Genomic DNA, 27292 nt, shown 5'->3' on the forward strand with positions numbered 1-27292 from the left:
AAAGTAGGATCCAAAAAAGGAAAATTAGATTTATTAAAATTAAAAATATCTCTCTGTGAAAGACACTGTTAAATGAATGAAAAAGTTACGGAATTGAAGAAAACATTTACAAATTACATACCAGATAAAGGACTTGTATCTATAATATATTTTAAAAACTTTTGAAACTCAACATCAAGAAAACGAATAACCTAATAAAACATTGGGCAAAAAGACTTAAAAAGGTACTTTACCAAAAAGCCAGAAAGACAACAAATAAGCACATGAAGAAAGGATCAATGTCATTCATCACTAAGAAAGCACAAATTAGGCCGGGTGCGGTGGCTCATGCTTATAATCCCAGCACTTTGGGAGGCTGAGGCAGGTGGATCACCTGAGGTCAGGAGTTTGAGACCAGCCTGGCCAACATGGTGAACATGTTTGTGAACAACAAAAACCAAAACCTCGTCTCTGCTAAAAATACAAAAAATTAACTGCATGTGGTGCCGTGCGCCTGTAGTCCCAGCTACTCAGGAGGCTAAGGCAGGAGAATCGCTTGAACCTGGGAGGCACAGGTTGCAGTAAGATGAGATCGCACCACTGTACTCCAGCCTGGGTGACAGAGTGAGACCCTGTCACAAAAAAAAAAAAAAAAAAAAAGTGCAAATTAAAACCACAGGAAGATATCACTATATGCCTATTAAAATGGGTAGAAAATCTTTTGAAAACTGACAATACCACATGCTGATGAGGAAACAGAGCACTTATCCACTGCTAGTAGAGATGGAAAATGGTACTACCACTCTGGAAAACAGCTTGGCAGTTTCTTACAAAGTTGAATAGTGAAAAATACATCATATAATCCAGCAATCCCAGTCTTAGGTATTAAACTAGAGAATTGAAAACTTAAATTCACAAGAATCACTCTACATGAGTATTTACAGCAGCTCTATTCATAATCACAAAAAGCTGGTAACAGCCTAAATGTCCTTTAAACAGTGAATGGATCCACAGGCTGTGACATACCTGTACAACAGAAAGCAACTCAGAAATAAAAAGGATCAAACTGTTGACAGACTCAGTGACACAGACAGATCACAGAATGCAGAATCAAAGAAGCCACTCCAAGAAAGGAACACACAGTATTATTCCATTTATAAGACATTCTGGAAAAACCAGACTATAGAGATGGAGAATAGATCAGTGTTGCCACAACGGTGGGGCCGGGGAGATGCAGAGCATGATTCTAAGTGGCAGTGTGTGAAGTGTTGCGGGTAATGGAACTGTTCTTTATCCTGACTGTGATGGATACACCAAGCTATCTGTGTTGCTCATTAAAGTTAGAACTCAAAAAATCGTGCACCAAAAAAGTTCATTTTACTCTATGTTAATTTAAAAAACATTTAAATCAATGCAATTAAAAAAACAAACATCACGATGAGTTTGAAGGACCACAGTGCATTAAGTTTACTCCAATACTGGTCTTGTTGCTTAATGGCTATAACATCATAAGCAAGTCATTTAATTTCTCTGACTGTCAGTTTCCCCAGTCCTCCAATGGGGATAACAACGCCTATGCTATGGAATTATTAGGAGGCTCCAGTGAAAAAAAGTAAGTGAAAGTGCTTTGTAAAATCACAAGAAGAATACCACTATAAACATGGGGGGTGGGGCTATTATTAGCTTGGTTGCTGTCAGTGGAGCTGCAAAACCTACCAGCCAATGACTCAATATCGACTCAGCTAAAAATGAGTACCCGCCAAGGTCCAGCATGTCTAAAAACCATGGTGCCATGACTAGAAATCAAGTGAGACTCTCTTTTCCCCAAGTCTGGCAGATATCCCCAAGGCCTCCCAGGGTCTAGACACCAATGTTTGCTCATTCCCAGGAGTGTACTAAAGTGAATTAGCATAAAACTAAAACAGGTAGTGATGGCCACCCACACCTTTGGTCAAATTCATGTGGTCTTTTAAAATTCTGTAAGCCTGCCTATCTTCTTAATCAGTCTTCTTTCCAGAATGGGTAGTCAATATGAGACTGGAGAGCTTTTTCACATTTTAAGAAAGCCAGGGAACCTAATTCAATCTGAAGTCCAGAGAAAACAAAGAACAAAGAATCAGAGGGTTTTCTGCTGATGTAACCTCACGCTTACCTCTGCCACACTGCTATGGAGCTTCCTGATCTCACGGAGGACTATGAATGACTACCTATCTACCAGATCAGGGTTTCTGAAACATAGCACACCAACCACCAAAAACCAAACCCTCAGCTCTAGATAAGACTCAATGAGTTAAAACCTCTAGCAGTGACACCAGGGACTCTGACTTCTCTGGGTTTGGGCTTCACTGTGCAAGCTGAACCTGCAGAGTAGGAAGGTGCTGAAATCTCTATGGGGAAGGAACGCAGCACACAGCACCAGCACATGAAGCACAGCAGCGTGGGCACCAGTCAGGGAAGGTTCCGAAAGGAAGTGACTCCTGCACTCACAAAGGCACTGAGTATAATTCTAAGCGGCAGCCTGGTGAAGTTTTGGGGGTAAACGAGCAGGTCTACTAGGGAGAGGGCTCTCTAGTCACTGTGAACAGTGTTTGCAAAGGTCTCAAGCTCAATCAGCACGGCTTATTGGGGGAAACTTCCAGGACCTTCCTCACAGGAGTGAGGAAACGTGGGTTTTGGGAAGACAAGGGAGAAGGGCTGGGTCAGATTATGGGAAGTCTTGGGTACCAAGCTCTAGAACTGGAACTTGACCTACAGATGATGGGACTCACTAAAAGACATTAAGAAAATAGGGGGAAAGGTCTTAGCCAGCCATGGTGGTGCACGCCTGTTGTTCCAGCTACTTGGGAGGCTGAGGCAGGAGAATCTCTTCAGCCCAGGAGGTTGAGGCTGCAGTGAGCCATGATCACACCATTGTACTCCAGTCTGGGTGACGGTAAGACCCTGTCTAAAAAAAAAAAAAAAAGGAGGAGGAGGAGGAGGAGGAAGGAAAATGTCATGTATGTCTTTTAGAATACTTTGGAATCTACTGACAGAAATAATTGAAGGAAGAAATTGAAGGCAAAATGACTGTGAAAAGTTGTCACAACTATTCAAGAAATAAATTAGGAGGCTTGTCCTAGGGGACAAAGGTGACAAGCCTGAGTCAACACATGGCTATTCAAGTAAAAAGAACAGGTTTAGTGGCAGATGGGAACGTGGTGGCATTTCCCCATCAACAACTGAAAAGCAACCCAGTCTTTGTGAAGGGTCTCTGAAGCTTTACATTATTGAAGACAGTAAGGATAACTGTTTCTAATTTTTTAATTAATAAACTTTAAAAATATAATTTTTTAAATGTTCCCTTAAGAGAAACAATTTGGAATGGCTGGAATCAAAAAGATAGATACAATAACAAATATTGGCAAGAATGTGCAGAAATCAGATACTCATATACTATGGGAATGTAAAATGGTGCAACCACTTTGGAAAACAATCCAGCAGCTCCTTAAACTATTTAAACATAGAGTTACCATATGATCCAGCAATTCCACTCCTAGGTTTGTACCCAAGAGAAATGAAAACATGCATCCACACAGAAAATTAAACATGAATGTTCATAATAGCATTATTCACAATAGCAGAAAAGTGCAATCAACCCAAATGTCCATCAACTAATGAATGAACAAAATTATATCCATTCAACAGAAAATTATTCAGCAATAAAAAGAAATAACATACATAATTGTGGTTGAATCTTGAAAACAACACACCAAGTGAAAGAGGTTAGTCACTTGTTTCCATTTATATGAAATATCTAGAGTAAGCAAATCTAGAGAGACAGAAGGTAGATTAGTGGTAGATTAGTGGTTGCCTAGGGTGCGGGAGGGAAGTAGGGGAATAGAGAATGGCAGCGATGGGTACAGGGTTTCTTCTGGGAGGATGAAAAGTTCTAAAATCAGATTGTTGTGACGGCTAAACAACTCTGAATATACTAAAACGTTGAATTATACAGTTTAAGTGGGCGACTTATGTGACATGTAAATTATATTTCAATAAAGCTGTTTAAAAAGAAGAAGGCCATTTGAGATCCTGAGTGTACAGGAAGCAGGGGCGCCCAGGAATTGGAGGAAGAGATCCACCAAACACACTCAAGGCGCACACAGCAATGCTTCATCTCTCAACTGACCCACACGCAGTGCCATAGTTGTTGAACAAACAGTTGAAACTTTGTTACACTGTCTAATTTGTGCCCACGAGGGATCACTGGTTAAAGAGGAGAGCCATGAAGAACGCACGTAATCAGGGGCAATAACAGTAACTCTGCAATTGTGCCTCCGGGTGACGGTAACCAGGTCTCTGAGTTGCATTCATCTAATCAAAATCCATTTGCAGCACATCAAGACATTTGTAAGGCCTCAAAATACAACGTTTAAAATATAACATATAATGATGATTATGTCTAATTTTGCTTTTTGTTTTCTGGGAATTAAGACAATCCAAATTCACAAGAAATTATTTGTAGAAAAGTACTTGCAAATAACAACCTGAAATCATGTTTCATGCATCACCATTTGGAAATTAAACTCTACAATGATTAAACAAAGAAACGAAGAGAACTTTAAAAATGCAAAATGCAAGAATTCCAAACATAAGTTTGAAAAGAAACTCTGACTAATTGATGATGTTGCACAATCTACCTTTCAAAATACATTCAATCTCCAAACCAAGCATGGTATACTTTTTTTTAATTGATGTTTATAAATCAGGCTTTGAAATGTATTTAAAAGTATACAGTGCTTATCAATACAAAATCTTTAAATCTGTTATTATTTTAAAATGAATTTTAACATATAATATTTAGTAATATACCAATCTAAAATAAAATATAGATCACGTAAAATTCTTGCTTTTAATAGTAATATGCATCAGTAAAACATAAAATGGGTCCTCTCAAGACAGACCGGTGAGCAGACACAGAATACTGTGAGATCATTCGCTAGGAGACAGTGCAGTTGCTTGGATAACAAGTGGATGACACATGGAACTCGGGAGCACTAGTTATGGAGTCGGTGTCAGTCCAGATAGAATGTCAACCTGCTCCTGCCGTGTGAAGGCTGGGTGCCAGCTCCTGCCCTCCACAGAGCTATAATATATTAATAATAGGAATGGCAACAAAATGTGTGTTCATCATCTCAGGGCACACAAGACAATAGGTAAGGGATGGGATGAAGCAGATACATTGAATTGTTAAGTTCCCTTCCAACAAGAGGGTCTATGAATTGACTGTGATGGCAATTTCAGGGCAGGGTGCTGCGTGGAGCCTGTGACACTGGTTCCAGTTTGTTCTCCAGCCTCCTTTTCTCACAAAAGCAGGTCTCAGTGCAGATCTCGCAGCATCTCTTCTTCGGTCTTCCTTGGGGAGCTTCTCAAAGCACAGCCCTATCCCTCTCATCAACCACCACGAAGGATTCGCCGACTGGGCTGTTTTCTCTGCAACTTCCACAACGAAGAGGGGAGCCCCTTACCTTGCCCTGGAATATTCTTTCTGAGGATTTCTGAGAGGTAAAGCAGCCACTGATGGCAGCGTCCAGAGGATAACAGCACCGTCAAAGAGGAAGCAGGGCGACAGCTTGCTTGGCAGACCCAGCCTGGCTTGATGCTGCGCATGCGCTGGACAAACAGCAGGCACAGGGCACAAGGGTCGAGAGTAAACTCCGCCCTCACCTGCGGCTGTTGTGACCACCTGCCACCTCCTGGCCTCCCAGACCTCGTCTACATCCGATGCCTCATTATAGATACAGAATGGTTTTTTTAGAAAATTGGAAAGTTGATCAGACTTTTAAAATATCACAAAGGAGTCTTAATGTGGCGTTTAAGATAATTCCTTTCAATATTTATTTTCTAAATATCCCAGCCACAGACCTGAAGAGTTTATATCCCAGTAGGAAAGGCTGGGTATAGGGTGCATAGAATTTCCCCATACATCTATTTCTTTTGCAATTTCTTGTGAATCTATCATTGTTTCAAAATAAACTGAAAAAAATGACATGGGTCTGAATCAAACCAAGAGAATCTAAAAACTGTTTCTATTTTTAGTCATCTAAGGACGGGAAAAGGGAAAAAGAGGTCTACGGTCCTGTAGCTCCTTCCAGGCTTTAGAAGCATAATGGAATTGGACCATTTTTGCCCTGTAGAAATGTACTTATCATGAAAAAAAAGGAAAGTCTTAAGTCCTTGATACTTCAGAAGAACATCCATAGACTCCCCCATTTGTACACTAGGTCAACCAACATTTAACATCACTTCTGTGGTTCAAATATGGTGCTCTTGTTATAACAGCAGACTGATATTGTCAAGACATCACAGGACAAATGAGCACTGGCCCAGCTTACTATGCTCATTTTAACAAGTACAGTCAGCAAGGATCAGGAAAACCAATCATGTATATGATTTAAATGATCTAAATAAAAAATAGTGAAAAATATTTTACATTTATTTATACTTTGTACTTATTAATTTAGCAACAGATTTGTACAACCTGTCCCCCTACCATCTTCCCCTTCTCACACACGACGTCCCCATTTCCACAGATTCTCAGGACAAAGGCCTTGGAGCCACCACACCTCCTGTGAAATAGCAAGGCTTAGCCTATTTAATGTTTGTTCTGAGGATATCCAGAACCTGACCATTCTTTCCACCTTGACCTACTCCTGTCCCAGAATTACTGCGGCAGGACTGACATCCACTCCCGCCCGTGGCGCAACAGCACATTCTCTGAAAGCAGCTCTCCAGCTTTTCATAGCACGTCCCCCCTGCTATGCTGATGTTTGCTGTCTACACAACCTGCTACATTTATGCTTCTCGCCTATCCTTCTCCATTCAAATATAAGCTCTTTGAGAGCATGAACTCAACTTTACTCATTGCTGTCTTCAGTGCCTAGGACAGTGCTTCGCAGAAAATAGGGTGCAAGGAGTATTAGTTCCAAGGAGGGAGAGAGGGAGGGAAGATGAACGCTATGCTGGTGAGGCTGCGGGGAACCAGGTCCATTGATGCAAACTTCACTGTACTCTATACCAAGAATTTCTGATGAACAATTTAAAATGACAGACCAAAATCTAGAAATTACTTATGACTTTTTGTAAGTCTTATTTCATTATTTATTTATACCATGAATAACAAATCGAAATTTAATTTTTAACAGTTTTAACAACTAAATTTGTGGAATACTTTCAATTTTAGATTTTGTAAAATCTTAGATTTTTGCAATTTAAAAAATTAGTTCCCAATATCACACCATCTACAAAAAACATATGAAAGATGGATGAATAATCTCAATGTAAAATTACAAATATATTAGCAGGAAATCAAGGAGAACACATGTCTAATCTTAAGTAGGGTAAGTTTTTTTTACTGAAGCCCGAATGAAGCCAATAAGAACAAAATAATTTTACTAAAAATGTTCGCAAAAGGTGACCAAAATAATTTGTAGTAAAATGCAGATAGCAAATTCAGATAAGGTTAAAATATACGGCACACAAAACTTCCTGAAGATGAATGGAAAAAGATTAATACAAATTTTTGAAGAGGCCAAGATTACATATAAGAGAATACACAGAAGAAATGCAAATGTTCAGTAAACATAAAGATGGTTTACCTTACTCAAAACTAAGGAAATTAAAATTATACACAGTGAGATATTTCACATCCATCAAACTGCAAACCTTCATGAAAAGAATGAGATATTCAATGATGTCTATGATAGGGAGAAACGAACAGTCTCACATGCTCAGGAGGGTAAATTATGGAGGAAGATTCCATATTAAAACTAAATTTTTAGAATTTATATTACAAAAACCACCCACGTATGCACAAAGTTTATATACAAGAATGTCCAATGCAAAACTGCTTGAAACAGTAGAACATAGAAAACAAACCTCACTCAACAGAGAAGCATTTAACACATTATGGGGTATCTATCGGACAGAAGGGCACATGATCTGTAAACAAATGAGGAGACCTAGATTTACTGATGTGGAAAGATGATCAACATGTATCGTATTTTTTTAATTTGCAAAAGATTAAAATTTTACTTCTATTTTAAAAATAATGGTAACAGGCAGGGCATGGTGGCTCAAGCCTGTAATACTGGCACTTTGGGAGGCCGAGAAGGGAGGGTCCCCTGAGGTCAGGAGTTCAAGACCGGCCTGGCCAACAAGGTGAAACCCCATCTCTACTAAAAATACAAAAATTAGCTGGGCGTGGTGAGGCAGGCGCCTGTAATCCCAGCTACATGGGAGACTGAGGCAGGAGAATCACTTGAACCCAGGAGGCAGAGGTTGCAGTGAGCCAAGATTGTACCACTGCACTCCAGCCTGGGCAACAGAGCAAGGGTCAGTCTCGAAAAATTTAAAAATAAAAATAATAGTAACAATATTATATATATTTAGATGAATTAAAAATTTGGAAAAATTTGTGTCAAATTTTTAATAATGGGTGTCTATGTGAGATGATATTGCAACAGATACTCGTCTCTACTTAACATGCTTCCAGAAGGCATACTTTTTTTTTTTTTTTTTTTTTGAGACGGAGTCTCACTCCGTCACCAGGCTGGAGTGCAGTGGTACAATCTCGGCTCACTGCAACCTCTGCCTCCCGGGTTCAAGTGATTCTCCTACCTCAGCCTCCCAAGTAGCTGGGACTACAGGTGCATGCCACCACACCCAGCTAATTTTTTTTTTTTTTTTTTTTTTTTTTTGACGGAGTCTTGCTCTGTAGCCCAGGCTGGAGTGCAATGGCACGATCTCGGCTCACTGCAACCTCTGCCTCCTGGGTTTAAGTGATTCTCCTGCCTCAGCCTCCTGAGTAGCTGGGATTACAGGTGCCTGCCATCTCACCCAGCTAATTTTTGTATTTTTTGTAGAGACAGGGTTTCACCATGTTGGCCAGGCTGGTCTCAAACTCCTGACCTCAGGTGATCCTCCTGCCTCAGCCTCCCAAAGTGCTAGGATTACAGGCATGAGCCACTGCGCCAGACAATTTTTGCATTTTTAGTAGAGATGGGGTTTCACTATGTTGACCAGGATGATCTTGATCTCTTGACCTCATGATCTGCCCGCCTTGGCCTCCCAAAGTGCTGGGACTGCAGGCGTGAGCCACCGCGCCCGGCCAGGCATACATTTTGTATAACAAGTTTGAATGACTAGCTTTTAGAAGAAAGAAGTGGGGGGAAAAAACGTATTATTTTATATAATCATCCTACTATTTATAGATAAGGCAATGCGGGGCTCAGAGTATCTAAGAGGCCTGTTCAAGGCAGGAAGTAGAGTTCCATCCCCTCTAATTTCAAATCCTTTCTTCCCTCCACAAAATCAAGGTACCCTGCCACAGTTATTTACTATGTCCCTATCACGTGCCAGTCATCTGAGAGACTTACTTAAAAGGGGAGACACAGAAAAGACACTGCCTGTAACATACCTGTAAAGACTGAGAATGAGAGGGAAGAAGGGCGTGGACCCCATGCGCTGCAGGCTTGCCACGCATCAGGCACACAGTTTCTTACTGGAATCCTCCCGACAGCCCGATAAGGAGGCCCGCTTTATAAAGATTCTGTAACTTGCCCAACATGGCAGAGCTGGGATTCCAACATGAGGCAGTCAGCCTCCAAAACCCAGGTCCTCCACCTCTCGGCCCTCCTGCATCCTGCTGGTCAGGCCGAGGCCCCCCAGTGACTAGGGTCCTGATGCAGCCACGAACAACACCAAGCTCGTTCTTTCTTCTCACTCTGCCTGAGTCCCTCACCTGCAACACGGGGCAACACGTTCTCTAGCCCACACTCCCTAGCATGTCAAATGTACAAGGACAGGCGCTGAAGTCTCCCATGAGCCTCTGAAGGGGATTGAGGGACTACCTCACCTTGCAGAGGGTCACCGTAAGTTCTGAAAAGTGGCAACACCTGGAAAATGCTTCCTAAGGAAGCAAAGGGGTTACAGGGAGAGCAGGGTGTGTAGCAAGGCAACTGGCACTTAGTGTGTGCTCAATAACCATCCAGATCCAGTTCCTTTACACACACTGAGACGACAGCGCCTCAACACCTACATGCACAGGGCTGAGCGGGCCACACAGAGGCAGGAAGAACGCTAACAGCCTGGTCAATGGGACCCTAAGTGTAATGGATAATTAATGCTTTTGTGAAAAGATGCTGCTGCTCTTGGGTACCTGCTCGGCAGGTAAGGGCCAGATGGAGTTCAAGCCCATCAAGCCCATCACAGTCGCAGCAGCTGGGTTCCACTCGGACCGTGACCCCGCCTCTCCGTGCACTCCTCCAGGAACCTGTCTGTACTGGGGCTCCAAACTTCTCCCTTCTCCAGCACTGCACTTCCTGTCAAGCCACTCCTGACCCTAAGGAAAGGAAACTGTACTCCCCAGTCGTCTAAACAAACAACTCAAATCCCACTGTAGGTCCTCCGGCTGGTCAACGCAAATCTAGTTGTTCTGTCTCCAAAGCTCCTGCCACACATCGTTCACACTGCAGCGTTTCTTCAAAACTTCGGTTGACCACTGACTACTTACTTCACCTGCTGCTGCCCAAACAAAGAGTCACAGAGTGGCTGCCTTCAGAGAGCTGACCATAGGTGAAAGGGAGGCCAACAAAGGCTTCAGGATCCGCTGAGGTCAGTGATGTCCTTCGGGAGTGCTGGAGCCAGCTGCTGCAAAGCCGCCTGTGTTTACAAGACTGGCTCATCCCTTTGTCCCTAGAACCTGACACACAACAGAAGTGCATACACACAAGGAAAATGACAACCACCAATTTTCAATTATCTGCCTTGTGTCAGGCACTGTTAATAATTTTTCAGACACTTTATAACACACAGTTTTACAACCCTGCACAGTCAGTGTTATCTCCTTTTCAAGATGAAGGAAAAATGATGCTGAGAGAAATGTGAATGGCTCGCTCAAAACCACAGCGCCAATGAGCAGGAGAATCAACACTGGAAATCAGATACAGGCGCATGGGGCTCTCACTCCTGGTGTGCACTGCAATTCTAAATTCTTGTTAAATTTAAAACCAATCTACTAAGTAAACATAGCAACTGGAAAAAGATCTACCACGATAAAACTCCACAGTGCCCCTTCCATGGGTGAGCTGTCCCCACCACACAGGGAAAGTGACGAAGGCCTCGGTGGCAGGGTGTCTATCAATAATGTCGTAACGATTACACCCCACGCCCCGCTCAGAGGAGTGTATTTTCCACATAGATCAGAGTAGAAATGTCTAAGAGTGGATCGTTTATTGTAACAGGCTAGAAAGAAATTGCTCCTCAGGAGAGAGGGAGGCTCGGCACTCAGACAGGGATGGTCCAGCCTAATCCATTTCCATCTCGTCCCTAACAAGGTTACCAGGCAGCTCTGTGTAAAAAGCAAATCTCAAAGGTAATTTGATCTTTTAAATAAAAGTCAACTGAGACCTATGTACTCCCTGGTGGGAGAACAGTAAAAATAATAATAATAATAATGAGAATTCTACCTATCTATATTGGGCTTTGGCATTTAGAAAAAACTGCCCCCTCTGTTATTTAAATGGATTCTCTTATCGCCCTGGTGAGGTGAGCAGAGCTAAGAGGCTCACTCTCCCCCTAGGGAGTGCAGAGACCAAGCTGCGGCAGAGAAACACACTCCTCCAAAGATACGGCTCCTACAAAGGGTCTGTCCAGCGGCAGAATAGACACCAGAGTCCAGGACTCCAGGCTCCCAGGTCAGAGCAGGTGTGGCAGCAAGCTTTGGTCTGGGTGTCCCCAAGGCCACAGTTCAGATTGCCTCCCTTCCACTCACGAACGCACAGGACAAGGTGAGGAATGTAACACCCCCAGATAGGAATGCCAATGTCAGAGGGTTCTCGGGAGTGTGCATGGGATGCCCGACGCAACACCCAGGGCATGCCCTGGAGTCTAGCAGGCCGTGAATAAATAGGACTGCTCTTCCTTCCCATGCTCTCATATAGAAAACCATCATTTTAAAAAATACCAATAAGAAAAACTGCAGAAATTATCAGTATCAGTGAGAGGAGCAGACAAACAGACTACCCCAGGAGTAAATAACTCACATCCATTTGTATTTTGGTTTCACAATAGAGTATATGATTCATGTTATGCCAGCAGTAAAGTAGTCCTTTGACATATATTTGGCTTCTATTTGCACCAAAATTAGTCTGAATCTCTGTGTAGGCTCGCACTGGCATGTATGTGGCCATCTTCATTGTCCATGCTGCAGTGGCCTGGAAGCCAGGACATCTAGATGCCAGCCCTGTCACCTGCAAGCTGTGTGAACCTGAGCAAATCAGAAAACTCTCCGGGCCTCGTTTGTGATGCAAATGTGTTGAAATGGGCCATCTCTGGGGATGCATATAACTCTAACATGGCGTGATGCCAGAGTACAAATCTTCACCTGTGAGCAAAATGAAAAGTAATGAATTCACAATACACCATGCATCACGTAACTTCAATAAACTGCAAAGGCCAAGAGCCGAAAATGCATACTAATTCTGTTGTGTTCCAGGCCTTGCAATTTACACAGGTCCCTATTAAGAAAGATAGAATTTAGCACTTTGGGAGGCCGAGGTGGGTGGATCACTTGAGGTCAGGAGTTAAGAGTCCAGCCTGGGCAACTTGGTGAAACCCTGTCTCTACTAAAAATGAAAAACAATAAAAATAAAAAAAAAATAAGCCAGGCACGGTGGCTCATGCCTGTAGTCCCAGCTACTCGGGAGGCTGAGGCAGGAGAATCACTTGAACCTGGGAGGCAGAGGCTGCAGCGAGCTGAGGTTGTGCCACTGCACTCCAGCCCGAGCAAAAGAAAAGAAAAATAGAACTTAAATATATATATAAACGGGGTCATCCCTTTTATACAAAAGAAACACCTGAATGAATAGAGCCTTGGTATTTTACATCCTGTCATTCCTACACCTTCCCCGGCTGCCCACCGTGGGGCAAGGCGCTAGGTCCTGGGAGGCAGAGGTTGACCACCTGGCTGCATGTTCCACAGAGCTCAAAATCCAGTGGAAGAACCAGAAACCCAACATTAACACCTCTCCTGTTCCTCCCACTGTGGGTGGTGAAATCCTTCTTTCCTCAAGAATTAGTACAACGTTTCATTTTTTTGTGATGCCTTTCCAGCTCTCCCCAGTAAAAATTAGGTGCTCTCTCCAACGTATATATATTTTCGTACATGAAATGTTAAATCAAGGTTAAAATTTACATACAACGAAATACACAAATCTGAAGTGTATACTAGTCTGATTATTTGTCTACAACCCTATAACCCATACCCCTATCAATATATGCAACATTTCATCAAGTCAGAAAGATATTTTCTCTTCCCTTTAGGGCGACCAACTGTCCTGGTTTGTACTGAGGACTTTGCTAGGGTGAGGGAATTTCAGAGCTAAAATCTAGAAAATCCCAGGCAAACCAGACAGTTGCTAACCCAAATCCCTTCCCAGTCAATTCCTGCCCCACGTTACCTTAACCCAGAGTCAACCACTGGTTAGATTTCTTTCATCATAAAACAGGTTTTCCTGTTCTAGAAAGGTGTACACATGGAGTCACACAGTATGTTTCTTTTATGACTCGATTCCTTTGACCAGCATCGTAACTTTGTGCTGACCCCATTTTGTTGCATGTACCAGCAGTTTCTATTTCTGAGGAGTATTCCATTGTGTGGCAGCACCCCACATTGTTTATTCATTTACCTGTTGATGGGCATTTGGGGTTGTTTCCAGTTTGGAGTTATTAGGAATAAAGCTGTTACGAAAATACTTGCAGGAGTCTTTTTGTGGATGTGGACTTATATTTCTCTTGAGAAAATATCTAGGAATGAAATTGCTGGATCACTGGGGAGGAATATGTTTTAATTCATGAGGAACTGCCTGACTGATTTTCTAAAGTGGCTGCACCAGTTTATACTCCCAGAAGCAGTTTATGTGAATTCTGGCTGTTTCACATTCTCCCTAACATTTGGTGTTCTGTTTTTTAATTTTAGCCATTCTAGTGGGTATATAGTAGTATCTAATTGGGGTTTTAATTCGCATTTCTCTAATGATTAATAATGTTGAACACTTTTCGGAGATAACAGGTCATTTGAGAAATATCTGTTCAAATTTTCTATTTATCACCTTTTTAGAATTGTACAACTTCATCAATAAGATACAAGACGTTTGTTACATAAATATGTTACAATTTTTTTATCTTAGAATGTAATTTGCCTTTTAATAAGCTGAAGTTTTTAATTTTGATGAAATTTGTCCTATCAAGTCTTAGTTTTATGGTTAGCAGTTTCCGGCCCCATCTAAGAAAATATTTGCCCCTAAATCAAGAAGATACTGTGCTACATTTTCTTTGAGAAGGCTTGCAGTTAAAGGTTTTACTTTTAGGCCTAAAATTCATCTCCAGTGAATTCTTGGGCAGATGTGATGTATGGGTGAAGGGTTGTTTTTATTCCCCCACACAGACGTCCAGTTGTTCCAGCATCTTTTATTAAAAAGACTTTTCTTTCCCCATGAAATTAGTTTTGCATCTTGTTAAAAATCAACTGATGAGATACAATTGGAACTATTTCTGGACTATCTATTATGGTCCATTGATCTCTTTTTCTGTCTTTACACCAATAACATACTCTCTTGATTATTATAGCTTTACATTGTCTTAAAATCATACAGTGTAAGTCCTCCAACTTTGTTCTTTTTTGTCAAGTTATTTGTCTATTCTAGGTCTGTTCAATTTCAAAATAATTTTATAATTCCACTAAACAAAAATCCTGCTAGGATTTTGACCGAATTGCATTCAACTTACAATCAGTTCGGGGAAAACCACTATCTTAAGAAAAACTAATTCTTCCAATCACTAAGCATGGTATACTTTTTTTTTTGATACAGAGTCTCGTTCTGTTGCCCAGGCTGGAGTGCAGTGGTATAATCTCGGCTGACTACAACTTCCACCTCCTGGGTTCAGGTGATTCTCCTGCCTCAGCCTCCCAAGTAGCTGGGACTACAGGCATCCACCACCACACCCAGTTAATTTTTGTATTTTTTAGCAGAGAGTGGGTTTCACCATACTGGCCAGGCTGGTCTTGAACTCCTGACCTTGTGATCCACCTGCCTCGGCCTCTCGAAGTGCTGGGATTATAGGCATGAACCACCGTGCCCAGCCACCTCTCTAATTATTTAAGTCATCTTTCATTTCTCTTTATCATGTTTTGTCATTTTCTAGGTAGGGATAAGATTTGTAGAAATGTTTTCCTAAGTGTTTTATTATTTTGATTCTACTGCATATATTATTTTTTACATTTCATTTTCAAATTGTTAGTTGCTGGTATATAGAAACGTAAGTGATTTTTTTTTTTTTTTTTGAGACGGAGTCTCACTCTGTCACCCAGGCTGGAGTGCAGTGGTGTGATCTTGGCTCACTGCAAGCTCCACCTCCCAGGTTCACGCCATTCTCCTGCCTCAGCTTCCCAAGTGGCTGGGACTACAGGTGCCCACCACCACGCCCGGCTAATTTTGTTTTTGTATTTTTAGTAGAGATGGGGTTTCACCGTGTTAGCCAGGATGGTCTCGATCTCCTGACCTTGTGATCCACCCACCTCAGCCTCCCAAAGTGCTGGGATTACAGGCGTGAGCCACCGTGCCTGGCCACATAAGTGATTTTTAAATATTGAGTGGCATCCTGCAATCTTGCTAAATTGACTTATTATTTCTACTAATTTCTTTGGTGTGGCAGATTTCTCACAATATTTATGTACATAATCATATGTACCATACAAAGAAAGACATGTGAATAATAATAATTTTATTTCATTTCCTATTTTAATACCCTTATTTATTTTCTTCCCTTATTGCTCTGATTAGGACTGCCAGAAAAATAATGAATACGGTGGAAACGTGCCTTGTTATTCTTAGAGAAAAAGTCATCAGACTTTCACCTCTAAGTATAACATTAACTGTGGGGTTTCTTGTAGATGGCCTTTGTCAGACTGAGGAAGTTCTCTTCTAATCCTAGTGTACTGAGTGTTTCTGGCATAATTAAGCATTGACTTTTGTCAAATAATGTTTCTTTATCAACTGATATAATCATATGATTTTTCTCCTTTATTCTGCTAACATGACAAATTCTAATGACTGATCTTTCAATGGTAAAACAACCTCATACTTCTGAGTAAAACCTGAATTGTTCATGCTGTTTTGTCCCTTTCATATATCACTGAAGTTGATTTGATTTTTTGTTTTCATATTTCACATGTATATACATGAGGTTATTGGTCTACAGTTTTCTTTTCTCATAATGTCTCTGACTGGGTTTGGCATCAAGGTGATGTTGGTATCATAAAATGGAAGTTGGGAAGTATTTCCTCCTTATTTTCTGAAAAAGTTTTTGTAAAGGTGATATTATTTCTTTCTTTAAAAAGCTTCATATATTTCAGAGTAGAGCCATCTGGGCCTAAAGTTTGCTTTGTGAGAAGATTTTAATTAAGAATTCAAAATCTTTAACTGATGTGTGACTATTTATTTTTTCTATTTCTTTTTCCTGTGTCAATTTTAGTAATTTGTGTCTTTTTTTTTTTTTTTTTTTTTTTTTTTTGAGACAGAATCTCGCTGTGTCACCTAGGCTGGAGTGCAGTGGTGCAATCTTGGCTCACTGCAATCTCTGCCTCATGGGTTCAAGCGATTCTCATGCCTCAGCCTTCCGAGTGGCTGGAATTACAGGCATGCACCACGTGCCCAGCTAATTTTTCTATGTTTAGTAGAGATGAGGTTTCGCCATGTTAGTCAAGCTGGTTTCAAACTCCTGACCTCAGGTGATCCGCCTGCCTTGGCCTCCCAAAGGGCTGGGATTATAGGTGTGAGCCACCACGCCTGGCCGTCATTTTTCTTCTTTTTAAGAGACAGGCACCTTCTCTGCCACCCAGGCTGGAGTGCAGTGGCACGATCGTAGGTCACTCAAGGTATCCTCCTGCCTCAGCCTCCTGAGTAGCTAGGACTATAGGGATGTCCCATCACACCCGGCTAATTTTTTTTAATGTTTTGTATGTTTTATGATTTTTAATAATATTATCTTATTATCCTTTTAATGTCTGTGGAATTAGTAGTAATGCCACCTCTTTCATTCTCATTATTAGTTATTTGTGTTTCCACATTTTTTTCTGACCACCCTAGTTACAATTTATTAATTTTATTGTTACTATTTTCAGAGAACCAACTGTTGGTTTCACCAACTTTATGAATTTATTTGTTCATACTCTATAGCACTGATATCCACTCTATTATTTCTTCTGCTTACTCTAGGTACATTTTGCTATCCTTATCTAATAAAGAAGCAATATCACTGATTTTAAGCCATTCACCATTTCTAATACAAACATTTACTGTATTATAAATAACAACTAGGCACTTTCGGAGGTTGAAGCAGGAGGATTGCTTGAGGCCAGGGGTTTGAGACCAGCCTGGGCAAGACAGTGAGACCCCATCTCTACCAAAAGTTTAAAAAATAAACCAGTTGCGGTCCTCTGCACCTGTAGTTTTAGCTACTTGGGAGGCAAGGCAGGACAATCACTTGAGCCCAGGAGTTTGAGGTTACAGTGAGCTATGATGGTGCCAGTGCATTCCCACCTGGACAATGGAGTGAGATTCTATCTCAAAAAAAAAAATACACATGTACACATACAAAGTAGGTGGAGCTGATTAAAAGAATTGTCCAAGTTTTCTATATTGTTACTAATTTTTTTGTCTACTTATTTTACCAAATACTGAGAGATAAATGTTGACGTTTTCAACTACCATGGTGGGGTTATCAATTTCTCCCTTCAGTATGTCAGTTTTACTATGAAGTTATATTTGTAAACAGTTTCATTTGATCATTATGTACTTTTGATGACTTGATTTTGCTGTCATTAAAAATTGTCCTCTTTTTCTCTTGAAAGTCTAACCGTTTGATATTAAGATACCCAAACCAACTAAATAATTGTCTTTATGTCTTTTCCTTCATCTTTTTGTTTTTACATTATGCATAGTTAATGTCAATTTCTTATAAAAAAGGTAGTTGGCATCTTACTTTCTTGTATAGTTTGACAATCTCCATTTTTAAAGGTAGTATTAAATCTATTTACGTTTAGTGTAACTCTGGATACAGTAGATTTGAGTCCTACACATTGCCATCTGTTTCCTATTTGACTGTACGTTCCTTGTTCTTTTCTCCTTCTTTCTTGATACCTCTTCCCCTTTTTTGGGGTTAAGTATTTTTAAATATTCCATTTTATGTCTTCTGGCTTATCATCCATTCCTTAAGTGGATTGCTCCAGAGTTTGCATGTATCTTTAGCTGATCACATCTTAACTTCAAAAAATATTATAACAATTTGCATATAACACAAGAATTTCTATTTTCCCACCCATTCTTTGTGCCACTTTTTTGTTACATATTTTATTTGCATATGTGCTATACACTACAGAATTAAATGTTCTTATTTCTTTAAGTAGTCAATTAATCTTTCAAAGAAATTTTAAAAGTGAAGGAAACAAATCTTTTCTATTTATTCACTTATTTACTATTTATTAGGTTCATCACTCCTTTATATAGCTTCCGGTTTCCATTTGCTTTTATTTCTGATGGATGAGCTTATATCAGGGTAGTAAAAAACAGGAATTGTGCTCCATTTGTCTCTTAAACCAGTGATCTCTTTATATAGCACCTGAAACTTTGGAAGTGTCGGCTTAAGGAACAAATGAAACTATTTCCAATACACTCTGGTAAGTGCATTATCAGAAGTACATGTAATGTTAAGGGACCCACAGAAAGGCCAATCCACTCTGCCAAGTCACACTCAGAAAAATTTTACAAAAATGGTAACATGGGTCAAGGTCAAACAGGTATTTTCCAAAAGGTTGAATAAAGCATCTTCATTTAAGAGAGAGAACAGTGTTAGAAAAAGGTGTGTGCAGAAGCGCACTGGTGTAAGCCACCTGCACATATCCCAGCAATGGCGAGGAGCAAAGCGCCCTTTACACGAAGTATGGGACTGGGGCAAAGGGACTGAAGGGGAAGATCTGGGCCAGATCCTTAAGCACCATGGATGTCATAGGAGGGACTCTGGACTTTATCTCATCAGCACTGGGAAAGTATGTGCCAGAGCAGTGGCACAGGCACATGTGTAATTAAAGGATGACAACGGGAAACAAGGCTGTCAGCAGAGAGACCAATGGGGCAACTCTCTCTACAGTGACAAAGGCATGCAGTGGATTGCAGAGTCATTGGGAGACATCTCAGAAGTCCAATCCACAGGGCTTGGGGACCACTTAGACTTAGGAATAACAGAAAAGGAGAATTAGAAGACATCAAATCTCAATCCCAAGAGCAGGGAAAAGAACCACGGAAACCAAAAGAAAAGGGAGCAAGGGCCACAGGCTTGGGGGCAGGATCCACATAGCGCTTCAGCTGACCACCTACGCTTCCAAACCTCTGTGTGCAGCAAACCACATAGCGGCATTTTTCTCATCTTCAACTGTCATTTAGAACTGCAGGGGTCATGACGTGAAAACCAGATATCAATGGGGAAAAAAAGACGAACTCAGCTGATGACAACCTGTGCCGCTTCCAAGAATTATTTATGTGGGCAACGGCAGCAGGAGATGAGGGGATGAGAGAGAAACACACAACAGGTTCATGATGGAGCAAATGTAATGCTCAGAAAGGGCCTGAAATACTCTAACATCCGCAGCCATCCTGGCCAAGCTTCCCCAGGGGCAAGTGCTTTAATGCTTTACACAAATTCAAAACAGAGGCGGGTCTTGGCAGGAAAGGCTCTTACTCTGAGGACTGAAAAGGTGACAGATGATGAAATGTGATGCTAAAAGGCCCAGCTAAACCATTAATTCTTGCTGAAGGCATTCTCCAATGGCTGGGAAGAAAAACAAGTCTTTCCTATAAACTAAAACCACACTTATTATTTAAAGCTGTATCATTTTCAAGGGATTTTATGCCAACATTAACATGGACAACAACATGCTGTCTCACGCTGCAGCACACAGGGCCCACTGGAGGAGGAGGGGCTGCACGGGATCCCCCCACCGCCCCCTTCGAGGATAGACAGGTAAGCATTTAAATAATACCCATCCAGCCCACCCTACTCAGATAGGCAAGACCTAGCCGGACACGAACACCAGGACGAGCTCGGAGGTGAAGAGCACCTGCTTCCCGAAGGCTGCTGGCACTACGGAGGAATGGGAGCCACAGAGGGTCCCCAGCTGGCAGGAGCTTCATTCACCTCCAGCTTCTAGATTCCACTACTCCAACATCACCAGAGGGGAAAGTTCTGGATGAGAAATATCATTCTCCCACCTCAGAAAAGAATACCCTGAGTATCTCTTGCCACCTCTGGGTTTCAAGTGTACAAACTGTCCAATTTCTTTCTCCCTGAAGGAAGATTAGGTCTGGAAAGTAGGCAGGAGAGAAAGCCTTTGTATGCGAAGGGCCTCCTGGGCAGAAATGACCTGATGCCAAGATGGCTGGGAGCTCCACAAAGTGCCCATCTTATGGGGATGCCAGGAATGATGCAGAAGAGATGCTGGACTTGTCCAGGAGTCCCTAAGACATGTGCTATCCACTGAGCCCCTGCTAACAGGAGAGGTAAGCCAGAATGCAGCCAGGCCAGGCTGGGCGGGAAATGTGTGTGCACAGTGAGAACCACACGTAGGAATGCTGCAATCATCAGCGTTATGATTACAGCACGGCGTGATATGTAAAGCCCATTCACTTACGACCACCTGAGAGGCAGTTCTCATGTAACACCTGGTTTCCTAAAGAAAAACCTACATCCCAGAGAGGCTCAGCAACTTGGCCCCATGGCACGGATCTGACGGGATGCATGACAAAAACACACTGAGGTCAGGATTCTGAACGTAGTGCTGTTGAGACTCTAGAACAAGACGGCTGTGCGGCAGGAAGACATTTACCTGGTTGCTGGGAGGGTGCTGACTCGGGTGAAAAATACAGACGGCTCGACTTCTACATGCAGCCCCAGGGAGAGATTCCTGTAATATCCTTCAGTGTGGCCCGGGCCTCCAGAGTATTTGAAATTCAGGACAGCTTCCAGGGTCTAAAAGATATTAAAAAAAAAAATACACACACACACATTAGTAACTCTCTAGTTTGATCCACCAGGAGGCAAGCGGCTTCGCTTAGGAAGAGTCTGAAGATAATCCCAACTAGTCAAGTCATCAGCATTGGCCGACTCACAACCCCGGCGGGTACCGACTCACACCCCCGGCGGGGACCGACTCACACCCCCAGCGGGCACCATCTTACACCCCCGGTGGGCACCATCTTTCCTGTGATGTCCCAGAGTCTACACAATTCTCAGCCTGTACATGCAAACGGAAAGGGCTTCCAAAACTTACTCTGTGGTTAAATATGGTTTCTTTTTTTTTTTTTTGGAGATGGAGTCTTACTCTGTCGCCCAGGCTGGAGGCAGTGGCACAAACTCAGCTCACTGCAACCACTGCCTCCCAGGTCCAAGCAATTCTCCTGCCTCAGCCTCCCAAGTAGCTGAGATTACAGGTGCACACCACCACGCCTGGCTAATTTCTGTATTTTAGTAGATATGGGATTTCACCATGTTGGCCAGGCTGTTCTTGAACTCCTGACCTCGGGTGATCCACCCGCCTCGGCCTCCCAAGGTGCTGGGATGACAGGCGTGTGGGATGACAGGCGTGTGGGATGACAGGCATGTGGGATGACAGGCGTGTGGGATGACAGGCGTGAGCCACTGCGCCGGCCTAAACACGGCATTTTAGAGAGAAAAACACATTTCTATGAGCATCATTTCAACATCAGATGAGGTGACAGGCGGGGGCGGGGGTGCTTCTATCCAGAAGGTAGGGTCACTTGGGCTGACAGTGAGTAAAAGCCGACAAACTCCACACTCAGGATGCTTCCTGGAACCCATCCAAGAGAAGACTTCCCAGGGCAACCAAGGCATTCCAGGAGAGGCAGGGTGCTGCACAGTGGGGAGTACTCATGTGCTCCTGCTGGGGCCCAGCGGTACCCAGTGAGAGGCGAAGAACAGAGGTATGGGGAGACCCCACCCATGGGGGTGGCGCTGCACTCAGGATGGCTGGGGACCGAAGGGGAACATTACAGCTTCTCTGCAACCCTGAGTACAGGGCAACATCAGGGGAATGTGGAGCCTGGGGGCACCCAGAGTAACCACAGCAACAAGAAGTTCAACCAGGTTCCCCTCCGGACTGAAGGACCCTGCCTTCCCCAGGACCCTCCGGAAGCAGAGGACACAGCAGATCCAGCCCATGGACCAAATCTGACCACCGCCTGTTTTTGTGTGGCCTGAGAGCTAAGAACAGTTTTTACATTTGTTTACAGCTTGTAAAACAAAACAAAACAAAGCAAAACCAGAGAAGAATACGCAACAGAGACCATATGCGGCTGGCAAAGCTTAAAATACTATGTGGACCTTTACATCAAAGATTTGCAGATAAAACCCAGAGGAAAACATAGGAACAAATCTTCATGACCTTGGATTAAGCAAAGGTTTCATGGATATGACACCAAAAGCATAAGCAAAATGCAAAAAAAAAAAAAAAGAAAAGAAAAAGGAAAAAAAGGAAATCAAAGCTTCTCAACTGTTACATAGGGACAATAATTAATATGTATCTCACTAGATTCGTGCAGATTTGATGAGGAAATATAGTGACAGAACAAGAAGTCGCTCATTAAATAAATTCCTTTCTCCCCTGCAACCTACCCATCTGACACCCTGAGGCAACATGGCTTAGAATCGGAGGAAATGAGTTTTAGTCCCGTTTCTTCTAGTTTTGTTTTATATTCTTGTAATGTGGCAAAGTATGCATAACATAAAAGTTACCATTTTAACAATTCTAAGTACACAGTTCAGTGGTGTTAAGCACACTCATTCTGTCTATCAACCATCTCCATCATCCATTTCCGTCCCCAGAACTACTCCATCTTCCCAAACTGACCCTCTGAACCCATTAAACATGGACTCCCCAGTCTCCCTTCCTCTCGGCCCTGGCACCCACCATGCTACTTTTTGTCTTCCTGAATTTGACACTCTAGGCACCTTGCATGAGTGGAATCCTACAGTACTTGTCCTTTTGTGACTGGCAGATTTCACTCAGCATCATGTCCTCGAGAATCAACCGTGTTGAATCGTGGGTCAGAATTTCCTCTTTTTAAAGACCAATATTCCATTACATGTATGTACTGTGTCTTACTCATCCATTCGTCTGTCAGCGGGCACTTGGGTTGCTCCTACCCCTTGGCTCGTGTGAACAGTGCTGCTATGGTTGGACAGTGCCGAGACCCTGCTTTCGGTTCTTTGGGGTATATGCCCGGAAGTGGAATTTCTGAATCATACGGGTATTCTCTATGTAATTTTTTGAGAAGCCACCATATTGTTTCGCACAGTGGCTGTGCCATTTTACATTCCCACCAGCAGTGCACAGGGTTCCTGTTTTCCTACATCCTTACCACACATTTGCTATGTTCTGTTTTTGTGATAATGGCCATCCTAAGGGACACAAAGGAATATCTCACTGTGGTTTTGATTTGCATTTCCCTGGTGACTAGTCATGTTGAGCATCTTTTTATGTGCTTATGGTCCATTTATGTATCTTCTTTGGAGAAATTTCTATTTGAGTCCTTCAGTCTCATTTTAAAAGCTCACTATTCCAAATCCCCTCTCACCACTCCTATAGGTATATTTCATGACTACATATTGACAGGTTCCCTTCAATATTTGTACTGCCAGAGAAATACCTTCACTGATTCTCTCCACCTATGTAAATATTACTACTCGACAGCCCAAATAAAGCCATGCCTTCCTCTTACTTACAAATGGCTCAATAAAATACAGATTTTTTTTTAATATTCAAGGATCATATTTTGGCCTCACCAAAATCCCAAATCCTTTTTTCATTCCCTTTACTCCCAAGCACCGCCCTGTCATCTCCAAAGGGCTGCTGATTTCTTGTGAACACGTCTCAGACCTCTTACATTGCCCTTGTCATAAGCAGAAGGTGAGACTCGACACACACACACTCAATAAGTCTTTCTGTCAAAACTTTCAGAGTTCAACTGACTTTCATCTGTTTGATCTATTTTTTCATTCATCTTTTCAAACACTTCCTGGGTATCTTCTGAGTGCAGGGCTCTGTGCTCAGTACAAGATGAAGAAGATGTAGTCCCTGATCTCAGAAAGCTCTGTAAATGCTGAGTGAGGCAATGTATGACTAAATTAAATAATAAATAAATGAAGCCAACCAACCACCTAACATATACACAGCATCTTTCTCAAAATGCAGGCACAGTGGTCATGGAAATAAACAAACTCTCAGTAATGGCTGTGAAAAGCCAAAATCTGTGAAGTAACAACAAATGTCACACTGGCTTCTTGTTTGTTTTTTTGAGGTAAACTTAAAAGTCACCTACAGAGAGTGATGTAAAAGAAATCACCTGGGGAATGAACAAAAAGTACACAGACAACTGTCAAAGTACCACATCACCAAGAGGAAATAGTCTGTGTTTCTACTTTCTGGGAATTTACTATTACTTTACTCTGTAGAAAACCACAAAAAAGATATAATTATGAGGGGAAATATCTAATTTAACAAAATCAAGCACAGAAAAGTTGTATTACTCCATTCTCACACTACTATAAAGAACTGCCCGAGACTGGGTAATTTATAAAGAAAAGAGGTTTAATTGACTCACAGTTCCACACAGCTGGGTAGGCCTCAGGAAATGTAGAATCATGGCAGAAGGGGAAGAAGCATATCTTACATGGCGGCAGGAGAAAGTGAGTGAGTGTGTGTGTGAAGGAGGAACAGTCAAACACTTATAAAACCATCAGATCTCATGAGAACTCACTATCATGAGAACAGCATGGGGGACACCACCCCCATGATCCAATCACCTCCCACCATGTCCCTCCCTCGACACGTGGGGATTATGGGGATTACAATTCAAGATGAGATTTGGGTGGGGACACAGAGTCTAACCACATCAAAAGGTTTTCTGAAGTTCAGTGTCACTGCCTTACCTCTTTGAGATAAAAACAAAAACCAGAAATAACAAAAAAAGGCCTCCTCAGTCTTTTAAAATTAGAATATTATATATAAGGTCTTATATATTATATATATGGTCTTATTAATAATAAGAACATAAGGGGAGCTGGGAAGTGGAAAGACACAGGATGTCCAAGCCCTTTTCCTCAATCCAAGAGACTTCATAAGATGTTCCCATCTGAGAGCATTTTTCAATCCTTACTTTGACAGAAGACTATTACAGAAATCATAAACGAGGGACTACAACCAAAATGTTTATTTTCTAGGCACACAACTTATTATTCCAGCTAACATGAAAGGCCTGTCAGTAGGTACCTTTTATTAAAGAGTACCTACTCCATGCCAAGTGCTGCACTGAGTGACTTACACACCCAACTGCAACAGTCATGAGAGCCCCACAAGGGAAGTGCTGCTTTCATCAATGAGGCTCAGAGCACCCAGGAAGCAGCACAGGCAGGAACTGAATGCAGAGCAACATGCCTGCACAGCCCACTCTCTTGCCATTCAGGCAAACTGTTTAGAATAGCATTCATTCACCCATGCAATCATTCACTCACTAACCCTGTCTACTATGTCCCAGGGACTGTGGCACTTGAGAGGAAGAAGGCACAGTGCCACCCTTGGGGCACTCGAGTCTGGTAAAAGAAACAAGCCTTGATGCCTCTGAGTAAATTGTGACACGTTGTGTCATGGATAAGTGTATTAGAATATATGAGAATACAGGAGGAGAAAGGACTACATATGCCAGGTGGGTAGGAGTTGCAGAGGAAGGAACAACAAACCAGTAAGGAAGACAGGATTAGACAATTATCAATTGAAAATGGATAAATAATGGAAAAAAACAACTATACTAAAACCTACTTCTTGAAAATATCAATAAATGTGACAATCCTCTAAGTTGATCAAGGAAAAAGAGAAGAGAAAAACAAATTGCCAACATCAGGAATGAGAATGATTATCGGTACAGATCCTACAACCATTAAAAGGACAATCAGGGAAGAGTATCAATAATTTTGTGTCAATAGATTCAACAACTTAGATAAAATGGTCACACATTACCAAAAGGAATCAAGGAGAAACAGAAAATCTGAAGAGCCTCATGCCAATTGAAGACAAATCAAGAATATACTCCCAAAAGATGGCCAGGCATTGCGGCTCATGCCTGTAGTCCCAGCAGTTTGGGAGGCTGCGCAGAGGCAGATCACTTGAGCCCCAGACTTTCAGATAGCCTGGCCAACATGGCGAAAGCCCAACTCTACTAAAAGTACACAAATTAGCTGAGCTTAGTGGCGCAGGCCTGTAATCACAGCTACTCAGGAGGCTGAGGCATGAGAATCATTTGAACCCGGGAGGTGGAGGTTGCAGTGAGCCAAGATCATGCCACTTTCCTCCAGCCTGGGCGACAGAGCAAGACTCTGTCTCTGAAAACAAACAAACAAACAAACAAACAAGCAAATAAGAATGTACTCCCACATTTTCTTAATCCAGTCTATCGTTGTTGGACATACATTGTGCACATGTACCCTAAAACTTTAAGTATAATAATAATAAAATTAAAAATATATATATATATACTCCCAAAAGAAACCCCAAGCTTAGATGGTCTCTCAGCTGAATTCTAACAAACATGTAAATTAGAAAGAATATCAATTTTATATAATAAACATTTTTAGCAATTAGAAAAAAGGAGAAAACTTTCCCAATCTTTTTATGAGACCAATATTACTCAAATATCAAAATCAGATAGAAAACTTCTAAGAAAACTATTCATGAGGCCTATATCCCTCATGAATTTAAATGTAAAAAATATTTTTAAAGTACTAATGAATCAAGTTCAGTAAAATATAAAATGGGTAATACATCACGGCCATCAATAATGCAAGGCTGGTTTAATCTTCAAAAATCAAAGTCATTCACCATATTAATAAGCTATTGACAGGCAACAAAAAGAAAAGCTGAATGATCAATAGCTTCAGAAATAATAGTTGACGAAATTCAAAACCCATTTATAGTTTTTTAAAAACTCTCAGCAAACTAGGCATAGAAAGGAACATCCTCATTCTATGAAATGCACTCATGAAAAACCTATAGTCAAAACCATACTTGATGATAAGCAATGGAATGTTTTGCATCTAAAATCCAGATTAAGATGTAGCTGTAATAATTTTTGTAAGCATTGTACTTGAGATCCTA

At 41.7% G+C, this 27292-nt stretch overlaps 1 protein-coding gene across 15 annotated transcripts in view; it reads right to left on the reverse strand.

The window, feature by feature from the left end:
* TRAPPC9 (trafficking protein particle complex subunit 9) overlaps positions 1 to 27292 on the reverse strand; it is a 730855-nt gene that overhangs the window by 275259 nt on the left and 428304 nt on the right. For all 15 annotated transcript variants that reach the window (NR_164662.1, XM_011517326.3, NM_031466.8 and 12 more), the window contains one exon: positions 20954 to 21096. Coding sequence is in view for 14 of the 15 variants with exons in the window: in XM_011517326.3 (XP_011515628.1) it covers positions 20954 to 21096 (143 nt within the window). In the remaining variant the exon portion in view is untranslated. The remainder of the gene's footprint in view (positions 1 to 20953; positions 21097 to 27292) is intronic.

This window comes from Homo sapiens, chromosome 8, assembly GCF_000001405.40.
Source record: "Homo sapiens chromosome 8, GRCh38.p14 Primary Assembly".
Lineage (NCBI taxonomy): Eukaryota > Metazoa > Chordata > Mammalia > Primates > Hominidae > Homo > Homo sapiens.